The following is a 14,480-nucleotide window of genomic DNA, read 5'->3' as shown; positions in this document are numbered from 1 at the left end:
TTTTCTTCTCGGCTTTTTTCCATGTTGTCTGCATCTTCCCTTGGTTGTTAGTGGTGATGATGATGTTGTCTTTGCTCCATCTTGACAGTGCTGTGGCAGTATTGAAGCTGCAGTGGCTTTGCAAGCTTTTGATGGGACATCTGTAGCTCTAGAATGAAGCTGGAACAGAAAACCAAATACCGCATGTTCTCCTTCATAAGTGGGAGCTAACCATTGAATACACATGGACACAAGGAAGGGAACAATAGACATTAGGGCCTACTTGAGGGTGGAGCGTGGGAGGAGAGTGAGGACTGAAAAACTATCAGGTATTATGCTGATTACCTGGTTAACAAAATTATCTGTACACCAAACCCCCATGACATACAGTCTACCCATGTAACAAATCTGCACATGGAGCCCTTGAACCTAAAATAAAAGTTGGAAAGTGTGTTAGTTCTTTACATTGCTATAAGGAACTACCTGAGACTGGGTAATTAATAAAGAAAATGGGCTTAATTGGCTCTTGGTTCCACATGCTGTACAGGAAGCATGGCTGGGGAGGCTTCGGGAAACTTAGGTGGAAAGTGAAGAGGAGGCAGGGACATGTTACATAGCTGGAGGAAGAGGAAGAGGGCTAAGGGGAAGGTGCTACACACTTTTAAACAACCAGATCTCATGAGAACTCACTCACTCTCACAAGAAAAGCAAGGGAGAAATCCCCCCATGATCCAATCAGCTCTAATGAGGCCCCTTCTCCAACATTGGGGATTACAATTTGACATGAGATTTGGGTGGGGACACAAATCCAAACCATAAAGAAAAAAAAAAGAAATGTGATTCCTAAGGTTGGTAGTGGGGTTTGGTGGGAGGTGTTTGGGTCATGGGGGCCAATCTCTCATGAATGGCTTTGTGTCCTCCCCATGGTAATGAGTGAGTTCTCGCTCTGTTAGTTCACATGAGAGCTGGCTGTTTAAAGGAGTCTGGCATCTCCTTCTCTCCTCTATTTCTCCTTCGCTCACCAGGTAACATACCTGCTCCCCCTTCACCTTCTGCCATGACTGGAAGCTTACTGAGGCCTCACCAGAAACAGATGCTGGTGCCATGCACCCTGTGCAGTTTGCAGAACTGTCAGCCAAATAAACCCTCTTTCTTTCTTTTTTTTTTGAATGGAGTCTTACTCTGTCACCAGGCTGGAGCAACCTCCACCTCCTGGGTTCGAGCGATTCTCCTGCCTCAGCCTCCCAAGTAGCTGGGATTACAGGCACCCGCCACCATACCCAGCTAATTTTTGTATTTTTAGTAGAGACGGGGTTTCATCATGTTGGCCAGGATGGTCTCAATCTCCTGACCTCGTGATCCACCTGCCTCAGCCTCCCAAAGTGCTGGGATTGCAGGTGTGGGCCACCACGCCCAGTTAAACCCTCTTTCTTTAGAGATTACCCAGGCTCAGGTATTCTTATATCAACACAAACAGACTAACAGTTGGTATTTCAAAAATATTCTCTGGCTGTGTAATCCTATGCTATTAAACCTCTGCCAGTCAAAAGGATCATCCCACATGTCACGGTCTACTGCATCCTCCCATTCTTCATGGTTAATTGTTTTCCTGCTTGCTTCTGTGAGGTCTGTATTTTTCAAACTATGGATTGGCTCCATTTACTGGGTCAGGGCATTGATTTGATGGGTCAAGACAAACATTAAGAAAAAAGGAATATATTAGAATAAAATAGAAAAAGTTAAAGGGCATCACACAAAATTAGTCTAGGTATTATTCCGAAGCTTGCATTTTATATGCATCTGGGCATGTACTGAGCTGTGAGGTGAGATGCATCTCTTACTGTGGGCTCCAATCAAAGTTTTAAAAACACCATTTTAAGTTATGTTCAGTGGTTACTGAATCTTTTACATAATTTAGTTCTCTCTTGAATCTTCTTGTCGTCATAGAAAATGTCCTATATCAATTTTTACAGCTATAACCATCTGATCTTCAACAAACCTGACAAAAACAAAGGGGAAAGGATTCCTTGTTTAATAAATGGTGCTGGGAAAACTGGCTAGCCATATGCAGAAACAGAAACTGGACCCGTCCTTACACCTTATACAAATATTAACTCAAGATGGATTAAAGACTTAAACGTAAAACCCAAAACCATAAAAACCCTAGAAGAAAACCTAGGCAATACCATTCAGGACATAGGGATAGGCAAAGACTTCATGACTAAAACACCAAAAGCAATGGCAACAAAAGCCAAAATTGACAAATGAGATCTAATCAAACTGAAGAGCTTCTGCACAGCAAAAGAAACTATCATCAGAGTGAACAGGCAACCTACAGAATGGGAGAAAATTTATGCAAGTAACCCATTGGACAAAGGTCTAATATCCAGAATCTACAAGGGACTTAAACAAATTTACAAAAAAAAAAAAAAAAAAAAAAAAAACAGCCCCATCAAAAAGTGGACGAAGGCTATGAACAGAACACTTCTTAAAAGAAGACATTTGTGCAGCCAACAAACATATGAAGGAAAGCTCATCTTCGCTGGTCATTAGAGAAATGCAAATCAAAACCACAATGAGATACCATCTCACGCCAGTTTGAATGGTGATCATTAAAAAGTCTGGAAACAACAGATGCTGGTGAGGATGCGGAGAAATAGGAATGCTTTTACACTGTTGGTGGGAGTGTAAATTAGTTCAACCATTGTAGAAGGCAGTGTGGTGATTTCTCAAGGATCTAGAGCCAGAAATCCCATTTGACCCAGCAATCCCATTACTGCGTATATACTCAAAGGATTATAAATCATTCTACTATAAAGACTCATGCACACATATGTTTATTGCAGCACTATTTACAATAGCAAAGACTTGGAACCAACCCAAATGCCCATCAATGATAGACTGGATAAAGAAAATGTGGCACATATGCACCATGGAATATTATGCAGCCATAAAAAAGAATGAGTTCATGTCTTTTGCAGGGACATGGATGAAGCTGTAAGCCATCAGTCTTAGCAAACTAACACAGGACAAGAAAACCAAACACTGCATGTTCTCACTCATAAGTGGGAGTTGAACAATGAGAACACATGGACACAGGGAGGAGAATATCACACACCGAGGCCTGCCAGGGGCTGGCAGTAAAGGGGAGAGACAGTATTAGGAGAAATACCTAATGCATGCAGGGCTTAAAACCTAGATAACGGGTTGATAGGTGCAGCAAACAACCATGGCACATATATACCTATGTAACAAACCTGCATGTTCTGCACATCTATCCCAGAACTTAAAATAAAAAAAATATATGGAGGGAGTGCATGGGTTATAACCTTGAGTTGCTACTTGATTGAAAATGTCATGCTTTTCCCCTCATAGTTAGGTAGTAATTTTGCCCTCAAAACCTTAAAGGCATAGTTTTGCTGATAAGAAGATGTGATATCATAACTTTAGAGGCAAACTTTTCTCTCTCTCTCTCTAGAAGGTTTCTGAAGAATCTACTTTTGATTCTGAAATCTCCCTAGGGTATGTCTTATGAAGACATTTTTGCTCGTTCTGCTGGGCATTTAGTTTGTTCTTCAGAGGTGAAGATGCAAATGGTTCTTACTCCCTTTCTTGTTTCTGAACCTCGTATTAAATGAATTTGTCTACAGTTTCCTTAACTTTTCTCTCATTTTGTCTATCTTTCTACTCTTCATTAGGGGAGTGTTTTTTGACCTCCAATTTATCTTGAATGTTCATTCCATTATTCTATCTCTCTGTTGACTATTTTATTTCAACAATCACACATTTTTTAAAAAATCACTTTTTAAATTTTATGTAGAGTAAAATTTATTTTTGGAATATGATTCTATGAGTTTTGACAAACCCATATAGTTGAGTAACCACTGCCACAATCAAGGTATGGAACATTTCATCACTCCCTAAAATTCTCTCTTGTGGCCCCTTTGTGGTGAACCTGCCCTGACTGTCACCCGACCCACATGAACCACTAATTTCAACACATATATTTTTATTTTTAAATTTTTTAATGGCTCCTTGGTATTTCTGATTCCCATTTTTTTTCTTTGCAATTTGTTCTTACTTTATTGATCTAACTTGATTTTGTTGTGATATTCAAAATCATGTAATGTCATATCCTCTTGAATGGTTTTCAGGGTTCTCATGCATGAATTATCTGCTCCTTCCAGGGCTAGCCTTATTCTCTTGTGCTCGCTCTCTCCCTCTCCCCACCCCCTCCACCCCCACCCTCATTTTCATCTTTGTTCTTTTCTTTCTTGCTGGTTGGGTTTTCTTAAATGACTGGATGGTCGCTGGCTGCTTGTTCATTTTTAGGAGCAAAGAGGAGGCTGAATAGCACAGGTGGCCAGAATGGGTTTCAGTTGCAATGGGGAAGTCCTGATTCCTGAGTAGGTTTTAGACTTGACTGGGAATGCTGACTGTGGGCTTCTACAAGTGCTGTGCGTGGCCAGGGGTGTCAACAGACCAGCTTCTGTAAAGTGCACAGGTGGGAACAGCTACGGTGGAGAACCTCTGGAGTTTCTGGAATAAACAAAACGAAACAAACAAAAGCAAGGAGGGCTGTATTCCAGGGGTCAAGAGCTTTAGAATATTCTACGCTTGAGTAGTGTTGCTCCCCCTACCTGGTGTCTGATGTGGAGATACCCAAGTCACCTCCAGGCCTAATATTCCTCATCTCTGGCCTCAAGACAGGGTATGTCCATGCTCAGGCGGATGGTTCACTTTCTGTAGAGACAAGCTTAAATCTGTACCTGGGGTAGATGCCTCTTCTGCTGGAGGAACGTGCTTTGCTTATATGGAGTAAAAGGAGGGTGCAAAGGACCTGAGTAGCCAGCTGATCTGAATGCACTTTTTGAATAGCCTGGCCATTGTGGGCCTGGTGACATTTCCAGAGCCCCTATCTGTCTGATATCATTGGCTGTTTTGTTTTTCTATCAATCTGCTCCTATTCATTGACTATCAACTAAGGGGTCTTCCTTCTTTCCTTTCTACTGTCAATGCTTTTATTCTTTATTTTTTAAAGTTTTAAATTTGAGACAGATCCTTGCCGTGTTGCCCAGACTGGAGTGCAGAGGTGCAATTATGGCTCACTGCAGGCTCGACCTCCCAGGATCAAATGACCCTCCCACCTAAGCCTCCCGAGTAGCTGGGACCAGAGGTGTACACCAGCACGCCTGGCTAATTTGAGAATTTTTTGTAGAAAGGAGGTCTTGCTATGTTGCCCACGTTGGTCTCTGGGATCAAGCAATCCTCCTGCCTCGGCCTCCCAAAATGCTGTGATTTTAGGCATGAGCCACTGTGCCTGTCCTTTTCTTTCTTTTTTCTTTTGAGACTCCAGCTGTGTCCCCCAGGCTGGAGTGCAGTGATGTGATCTTGGCTCACTGCACCTTCTGCCCCCTGGGTTCAAGTGATTCTCCTGCCTCGGCTCCCTGAGTAGCTGGGATTACAGGTGCGCGCCACCATGCCCAGCTGATTTTTGTATTTTTGGTGGAAATGGGATTTCACCATGTTGGCCAGGCTTGTCTCGAGCTTTTGACCTCAAGTGATCCGCTCACCTCAGCCTCCCAAAGTGCTGGGATTACAGGCCTAAGCTACCGTGCCCAGCCCTTTTATTCTTTTAAACAACTCTCTTTCTTCCTGTCTCTGTATGTATGTACATGTTATATATGTATATATGTACATTTAAAAATATTTCAGCTGGGCTTTGGGTGGGAGGTTTGCCATTTGAGAAGAAAATGTGTATGATTTTGAAGGTAATAAGGATATTTATTTTAAAATATGGTGTCTAGTTCAGACCTTCCACAAAGTTCTTCTTTTCTTCCTATGCCATTATCCTGTGATGGAAAAGGCTTAAAGCTGGACATCTTTCTCCTGATTCAAGGCACTGAACACAGCAGAAGTATAATGACCTATTGAGTTTTAGTTTAATTATATAATCGATGGCCAGGAATAAGTATATTTAAAGAAGAGCTGATATATTTTGTGATTAGATTCTGCCTTGAAGTACCTAGGAAGAAAGTGTGATTTGCTTATTGAGTTGCTTGGAAGAGGTGAGGAGAATAGTCGGGGTCACAGTAGTTGACAAGGTTGTACACAATGCTTAGTTCATTTTCTTTAACACATACTGTTGTAAAATATACTAATTTTGGGGGGCGGGGGGAAGGAGAGCATCAGAATAAATAGCTTGGGGGCTGGGCATGGTGGCTTATGCCTGTAATCCCAGCACTTTGGGAGGCCGAAGCGGGCAGATCACTTGAGGCCAGGAGTTTGAAAACAGCCTGGCCAACATGGTGAAACTCTGTCTCAGCTAAAAATACAAAAATTAGCCAGGCGTGGTGGCAGGCGCCTGCAATCCAGCTACTCAGGAGACTGAGACATGATAATCACTTGGGCCTGGCAGGTGGAGGTTACAGCGAGTTGAGATTGCACCACTGCACTCCAGCCTGGGCAACAGAGCTAGACTCCAGCCTGGGCAATGGAGTGAGACTCTGTCTCAAAAATAAATAAATAAATAAATAAATAAATAAATAAATAAATAAATAAGAATAAATAGCTAGTGCATGCTGGGCTTAACACCTAGGTGATGGGTTGACAGGTGCAGCAAATCACCATGGCAGATGTTTACCTGTGTAACAAACCTGCACATCCTGCACATGTACCCTGGAACTTAAAATAAAAATTTAAAAAAGATGCTAATTTTGGTATAATTTTTCCCTCCCTCAGTGCATCGATCCTGAAAAACCATATTTAAATGAATTTAATGTATAAAATTTGGAACTTAATAAATTGAAGTGCGTTAGACAGTTTCCTCCGTTAGACAGTTTCCTCCTCTCCCCAAGGACAGTTCTTTAACTCCATAGTGGAGGCCAATGATTACATAGATATTAGTCTGTTGAAATTGCTTTTGTAGTCATACAAGTTAGGAAATAACTGATCTGCAAATTGTCAAATAAGTAGAGTCTATGTATTGCAAGGAGGCTTATCCTGTGCTCTAGGATGTCTGGCAACAGGTGCCTGCGTTACTGTGCTGAGAAGAATGTTGGATCTTTTCTGGACTCTGCTGAGAGTGGTGTGATTAGTAATGTCTGCTCTGAGCACAGGAGGTAGCCCATAAGCTAGGCATAGATCAGTATGCCGGTGGTAGTGGTTGTTCTTGTTATTTTTATTGTTAATTATTAGTTTTCCACAATTTATTTAGCTTATTTATTATTTTGGGCCATACATTTATAGACCATAGTATTTTAATGGAAAATATATACCTGAATGTAATATGGTATTTCTAGTTTTGTTTGGGTCTTTTTTTTTTTTTTTTTTTTTTTCGAGATAGGGTCTTGCTCTGTTGCCTAGGTTGGAGTGCAGTGGTACAATCACAGCTTACTGCAGCCTCAACCTCCCAGGCTCAAGCAATCCTTCCACCTCAGCCCCCCTAGTAGCTGAGACTACAGGTGTGTGCCATCACTCTCAGCTAATTTTTGTATTTTTTTGTAGAGATGAGTTTTCGCTATTTTGCCCAGGTTGGTCTCAAAGTCTCTGACTTAAGCAATCCACCCGCCTCGGCCTCCCAAAATGCTGGGAGTACCAGCGTGAGCCACTGTGCCCAGACTGGTGTTTTTTAAAGAAATAATTTATTTGAAGATGTAGTTTTATATTGAGAGCCAAACGAGAGCCATATCATAAGAGCCAAGTGAGATATTGATATTTTATCATACAATTTTCTTTTCTTTTCTTTCTTTTTTTTTTTTTTTCGGAGACAAAGTCTCGCTCTTGTTGCCAGGCTGGAGTGCAGTGGTGCAATCTTGACTCACTGCAACCTCTGCCTCCCAGGTTCAAGTGATTCTCCTGCCTCAGCCTCCCGAGTAGCTGGGACTACAGGTGCACACCGCCATGCCTGGCTAATTTTTGTATGTTTAGTAGAGATGGGACAATTTTCAATAAGAGATTTCTGTTCTACATGGATGAATTTTGAGAGTGACAGAGATTTAAGTTTTAATATTTGTGATATATTCTTATAAGTGGGAACTAAACATTTACACATTTATGTACATCTACACATGGTCTTTTCTTAAAAATAGAATTATTTTATGGTTTTCCCCCATCTTTAGGCTTTAAATAATTATTTTTGTTCATATTGCACATTTGCTATAGGTATGATACTTATTTATTATCTTTATCAAAGGAATCGAATGTGATCCTTCTTGTGCTTCTAATGTTCTGTTTTCTTATAAACTTTGTTTTGATATTTTTCAGAGTATACTCATATCTTAGATACTCGAGTCCCAAATCTGCGTGTGTTTCTCTTGGCTGTAATCAACAGTGCCGGTTGGTGTTCCTGGGCACAAATCACAGGGCTGCTCGATGTCACACATTTCCTTGTTTGTGTATTCCCGTGATCAATATCAGCAACAGCACAGGGAATAGACTCTCTTCCACTAGCTCATATTTTTCTTAAACAATATGTAGGTGTGTGTGTGTGTGTATTAATTTCTCACCTTTTACACCATAATTCAAAATCTAGGTGACATGTTTCAATAGCCGATAAGCATTTCATAGTAGGGTAGGTCAGGTTTACCGTATAATCCCTTTGATAATGCCTTCTTTTATAAATACATGAGAGAAGTTACAATTGAGTCCTGCTGAGGAAGTAGATCAATAGGTGGCAAGCTGTTTGACCCTTCGAGCCAGAAAGAGAATTTGGTAAATTGTTAGACAGGTTATTGACTGCCCTTTAGAGAGCCAGGGGTTTGGATTCTGTAACTCCTTTCAGCTGGGGCTTGTATTTCACGTGTGAGAGGCCTACATTATCATAATCCATTTTTTGCTTTTATGTTATCTATCAGCAGCTCTCATAAGTCTGCTTTCTGAAGGGCATTCCCCATTTACGTGCTCTAATTCACCGTCTTTTAAAAAAATTATAAAATTGATGGTTTGCAACCAGAGGCATTATATGTGAGTTGTTTATAGAGGTGCTGCTACAGGGAAGAAGGTTAGTGGTAGAATTAAGAACAAGACGATGGCTGTGGAAGGAAATTCATGAATAGACATCGCATCAACACTACAGGAAGATAGGCTCAAAAAGCATCTTAGACCCCAAAATCCCAGAAGAATATCAGGCTTATAGTCATTATAATTATGCCTTTGGCTGATGTTGAATGGTGCTAATGGTACACTACCAAATTTTTACTTAAGTGGCTCCATTAAGTGGAAAATGCCCAGATTGACCCCAATATGTAAAAAAGGTATTATCTTAAAATGTCTCTACCTATTAAATGGTGATTCTCCTGGCTCTGCTCAAATGGGAAATCTGTGGAAATATGTAGAATTGTTGCACTAATGTTATCATGAGACTTAAAACATTTGATGGGAGAATTTCTTCATTTGTACAATTTTACACATCTGAAATTATAACCCAATTTGGATTATTTTTGTAAATTATTAATAGCTTCTTATACCATTTCCTAGGACATTTTATTCATTTGAGTTTTTGAGTTTTGAGTTTTGAGTTTTTTATTCAAGGGAAAAATGTTCTGTTTTTCTTGTTATCTCATATAATAGGCTGTTTTGCTTTACAGTTCTGAAACTAACAGACAGAATCTTTTATGTGCAATGAATGTGAGTTTTAAAATTTTTTTATAGGGAATAAAACATGAAGACTAGTAAAGTGAGTATGTGTATACTCTGTCCTGGAAGAAGTGAGTGAAGGAGGCCCAGGACTTGACTTTTGGGGGTTCAGGTCTTCTACAACTTGGGCTCCCGGTGGGAAAGAAAGAAAATGGTAGAAGGAGAAACTGCCCAGGCAGCAGAGTCATCTGCAAAAGCAAGTGGCTGACTCTGTTCTGTTCTTGATGTGGCAGCTTGGAGCTGGCTTCAGTTCAGATTTTCTAGGCATTGGAGGAGGTCTTCCTTAAACAAATCTGTTAACATTTTTGTTTTGGGGAGAACACAGCGCCGCTTAGATGTAAATTCACCAGTTCATGTTTCTGCCTGAAGTTGCTGCATCTCACTGCTCCCCTGGGCCTCCCATCGCGGCAGGAATAGGCGTGGTCTTGGTCCATCCAATCTTCATTGCTATGCCTGGTTTTTGTCCTGCGGTCCTCTGGCTGTGTTTGTTCCTGTTGTTCCCTCTGCTAGGGGAAACCTCTTTGTTTGAGCATGGGATTCCTTGGGCTTCTGCAGCTCTGGGCTTTCTCTTCCTGGGGTAGTTGTGGTGGCAGCTTTCTCATGGTGAGCAGGTGATGGGTGACCCCCATAGGGTTCATCATCATCCTCTTTCTCTCTCTCTCCTCCTATCTCTCTGCCTCCACCCTAGTGACATGCTGTTTCCTTTTCTCACTACTTCTGGGCTTAAATGCAGACATCCTCAATGAAGCTAACTCAGATGGGACAGACATCCACGAAGACAGCCATTGTCAAACAGAGAGAATTGTTCATTCTTTCTACTACTCTGTTCTCATTCCATATGGCACACGTGGGCATCACGCTTTTTCCTCCACATGGGAGCTGTTGGAGGCAGGGTGATGGTCATCAGTGCACACCGGTGTGTCCTAATGGTAATTTGTAGCCAGGCCTGCTCTGATCTTTCAGATACCATTTTTGATTGGTGAGTGCCATGATGTACAGGTGTTAAGTGGTTTGAATACCACCCCTGCATGGAGACATGACTAATATCATTGTCACAAATTCCGTATTTCACATATTGGCTCAGGTGCAGATCTGGAGTCATGCTCCTTTTTGCCATCTTTCCTATCTGACTCCTTCCAGTGGTCTTTGTTCCCTCTGTCTCCTGGACCATGGCTAGAGTTCCCAGTGTGGTCTTTTGGGACATTCACCACACCTACTTTATTTTCATCTTTCCTTGCTGGTCCTTTCTCAGACGGTTGAGCTGGAGTTACTTTTCCCCCACCACTTGTAGGGTATTCGTGCTGTGTGTCTGAGCTCTGAGATGGAGCAGGAGGGTTAGAACCTCACTTCACCAAGCATTCTCCTTTGGTGGAGGGGCTGGCATTACCTTTTGGGGCTGATCAGTTTTGGTAGATTTAGAAGTTGGAGAGTGACAGTCTTCCTCCTTACTGAGTGTTTCATTTTCTAGAGACTTTTCAGTCTCTCTCCTTCCTGCATCCTGGTCTGATTGACTTTTGCCGGGTGTGGCGGAGGTCCCAGTGTGCGATGACTCACTTCCTGTCCTCCACCGTTCCAGTTCCTGAGTTTCTTCACTTCGCCAGCTTGGGTGCCTCTCCGGTTCCTGGGTTTCTTCACTTCGCCAGCTTGGGTGTCTCTCCCGAGGCCGTCATTCTAGTTTTGCCTCATCCAGCTGATGCTGCAACTTATCTTGTTCCTTCTGTAGCCATTCTTCTACTTTTGTTTCTCTAGCAGCTCTATCAACGGGCTTTGCCCCTCCAAAGACAAAATAAGCTCGACCGGACTGGGAGGTACTAGCAGAAGAATCATCTCCCTTAGGAGTATTATGAGGCTTTAGATTCAGTTTGGGTCTTTGAGGGGGACGGGGGACGTCTATCATTATACCTATAATCATCCCGAGAGAAATCATCTCTGGAGCTGCACGACCCATCATCCCATCTGTTGTATCGGTCTTCATAGCGGTCCCTGCCTCCTCTGTAGTCATTGTCCCTGGGTACCCACTGCCAAATGCCCTTCTGCCACTGCCTATCCAGGAATGATAGCCTCTAGCATAGTCTCTGCTGCCTCGGTCATCATAGCGATCCCTACCGCCAGCCATATCGATCCATATCCCGGCATGGGCCATCCCGATACTCATACCAATACCCACGGCCAGACTGGTCTGAATCATAACGATCTCGATACTTGTCTCCAAACCTATCATCACCCCTTCTAGGCGGGTAGTCATCAAAGCTGTCTGTGGCAGAACGAGCCCTCCAGTCTGTATCTGTTTTGTCAGAATCCCGATTTCTATCACGGCCAAAAGAACGATCGTCCCTGTCTGTATCCTGTGCTTGATCAGCAACGTCCACTCGAATTCTCCTGTTACCTAGAGACTCTTAATTGAGACTCAGGGCACTGAGCAGGGAATCCAGGTCCTCAAATTCAGCATAACCAAAACCTTTCAACCTCTCTGGATTGCTGGGTTCACGTGGTAAACGCACTGCACTGATAATTAATCCTCTAAAGAATTCCTTAATTGACTCTTCTGTCACATCATAGGATAGGTTCCCTAGAAAAGAAGTGTAGGGTGGCGATTTGGGAAGAAAGCTCCAGTTGATATTGGGTTCCCGAGCAGCCGGTGGAGCAGTGGGAAGGATGGAATGGTCAATTGGAGGCGCCCTATACACATTGTTATCATTACTGTGTCAAATCGTTGAAACATCTCCTTCCAGGTCATCTGTTGCATCAGCCCAGCTGACTGGTTTGGAAACATAGGTGCTTCCTCCACCAGTCCCCCAGTCCTCAGCTAGAAAGTCTGTTAGGGAGATAGTTTTCCTCTTCTTATTCGTCTTTTTTGCTGAGGCCGCCATGTTGGGAGCGGGAAAGCAACACTTTCATTTTAAAAAGCATTTTGTCTCATATTAGTATAGCTATTTTTTAGTGGAATTTAAAAATATGACAATATCAATCTTTTAGCTGGCAAGTATTGCCTATTTACATTTTTATGATTATTGAATTGTTTCTCCCAACTGTTAAATTTCTATTTGTCCTGTTTATTCTATGCTTTTTCTCTCTGTCTTCATTTTTTTTTTTAAATTATATTGAGTTAGATTTTTGGTTCTTCTAAAAAATTTGATATTTTCCCTTTTTTAGGATTTGAATTTATGTAATCTTATTTCCATTTTTTGTGATTATACTTAAAATGTTATTGCATGTGCTTAAACAAAATCTAAAATTCAATAATATTCTAACCTTTCTCATGAAGGATAGAAAGATCTTAGAATACTTTAATTCTCATATGCCCTCTCAACTTATTGTCCAGTATTTTAGCTTTGTCTTTAAAAAAATCCTATATAGTAGACACTGTTATTATTCCACACAATGTGTGTTTGTGTGTGTGCCTGTGCATGCGTGTGTGCACATTTACATTTTATTTGCTTGCCACTCTCCTTTTTTGCATTTTAGCTTTTCCTTCTGGAATTATTTTCTTTCTTCCTGACAGTGTATTCTTTATAATAAGTAGCTTCATAGAAGACCTGATGGTGGTACTCTCTCTCAGAGTCTGCTTATTTTTAAATGTTTTATTTCTCATTCTTCTTCTTCTTCTTCTTCTTTTTTTTTTTTTTTTTTTTTGAGATGTTTGAGATGGAGTCTCGCTCTGTTGGCCAGGCTGGAGTGCAGTGGCACAATCTCAGCTTACTGCTACCTCTGCCTCCTGGGTTCAAGCAATTCTCCTGCCTCAACCTCCTGAGTAGCTAGGATTATAGGTGTGTGCTATCATGCCTGGCTAATTTTTGTATTTTTAGTAGAGACAGGGTTTCACCACATTGGCCAGGCTGCTCTTGAACTCCTGACCTCAGGTGATGTGATCCACCTGCCTTGGCCTCCCAAAGTGCTGGGATTACAGGTGTGAGCCACTGCACTTGGCCTATTTCTCATTCTTTAAAGATAATTTTGAATGACATAAAACAACCATTTTTCCTACAAAATGGAGTGGTTCAGACTTAGGAGGAATAATTAAAATTACATTTAAACCTTCTATCATCTTCCTACATCCCTAACAGTTAGTTATGGTCTTGGTCATTGGGTAAAATGACTTCCTTGGTTAAAATCAGAGTGTGAAAGATGGTCCCCAGCAAAGAGATTGGTCTCTCTCCTAACTCAGAGAGGAGGAGCTAAAAAGCCAGTTTCATGATGTGAAGTCACAACTTTTGCTTTTTAAATGTTCTTTAAAAATATGGCCAGGTGTGGTGGCTTATGCCTGTAATCCTAGCACTTTGGAAGGCTGAATTGATTGGACCACTTGAGCCCAGGAGTTCGAGATCCAGCCTGGGCAACATGGTGAAACCCCATCTCAACAAAAAAATACAAAAATTAGCCTGACATGGTGGCAGTTGCCTCTGGTCCCAGCTACTCAGGAGGCTGAGATGGGAGGATCACCTGAGTCCAGGAGGTCGAGGCTGCGGTGATGTGTGATCCTGCCACTGCACTTCAGCCTAGGTGACAGAGTGAGACTCTATCTGAAAATTAAAAAAAAAAAAACAAAAAAAGTTGTTGTTTTTTTTTTAAAGATAATACGTTAAATATTTAGTATACTTCTTCCTTTATGAATGAAAGCCTGTTACGCACAAAGGGGCCTGTGCTGGGGTCCCCAAGAACATCCTCAGTTTTGATGATTCTCTGGGAGGTTTCACAAGAATCAGCATACAGTCCTGCTTATTCATGTGGCCATGATTTGTTATGGTGAAAAGACACAGAGCAAAATCAGCAAAGGTAAAATGCATGGGGACATGTCAGGAGGAAGCAAGACGCTTGTTCCAGCAGAGCCACACAAGATGCGCTTAACTCCTCCAGCAATGAATTGT

At 41.7% G+C, this 14,480-nt stretch overlaps 1 protein-coding gene and 1 pseudogene across 10 annotated transcripts in view, besides 1 other annotated feature; one reads left to right on the top strand and one right to left on the bottom strand.

Moving 5' to 3' along the window:
- NEBL (nebulette) overlaps positions 1-14,480 on the top strand; it is a 513,078-nt gene that overhangs the window by 251,567 nt on the left and 247,031 nt on the right. The gene's annotated exons all lie outside the window — the stretch shown is intronic.
- Positions 7,708-7,884: a silencer, noted in NCBI's record as "fragment chr10:21322529-21322705 (GRCh37/hg19 assembly coordinates)". NCBI's record gives its function as "represses an EF-1alpha promoter that drives an FKBP-Casp9 reporter gene in an ReSE screen in K562 erythroleukemia cells {active_cell/tissue: K562}" and the evidence as "EXISTENCE:reporter gene assay evidence [ECO:0000049][PMID:32094911]".
- EIF4BP2 (eukaryotic translation initiation factor 4B pseudogene 2) lies at positions 10,691-12,501 on the bottom strand (annotated as a pseudogene).

The sequence above is a fragment of the Homo sapiens genome, chromosome 10 (assembly GCF_000001405.40).
Source record: "Homo sapiens chromosome 10, GRCh38.p14 Primary Assembly".
NCBI classification, from domain to species: domain Eukaryota; kingdom Metazoa; phylum Chordata; class Mammalia; order Primates; family Hominidae; genus Homo; species Homo sapiens.
Note: the sequence above shows the minus strand (reverse complement) of the source record. Positions and strands in the feature narration are given on the sequence as shown.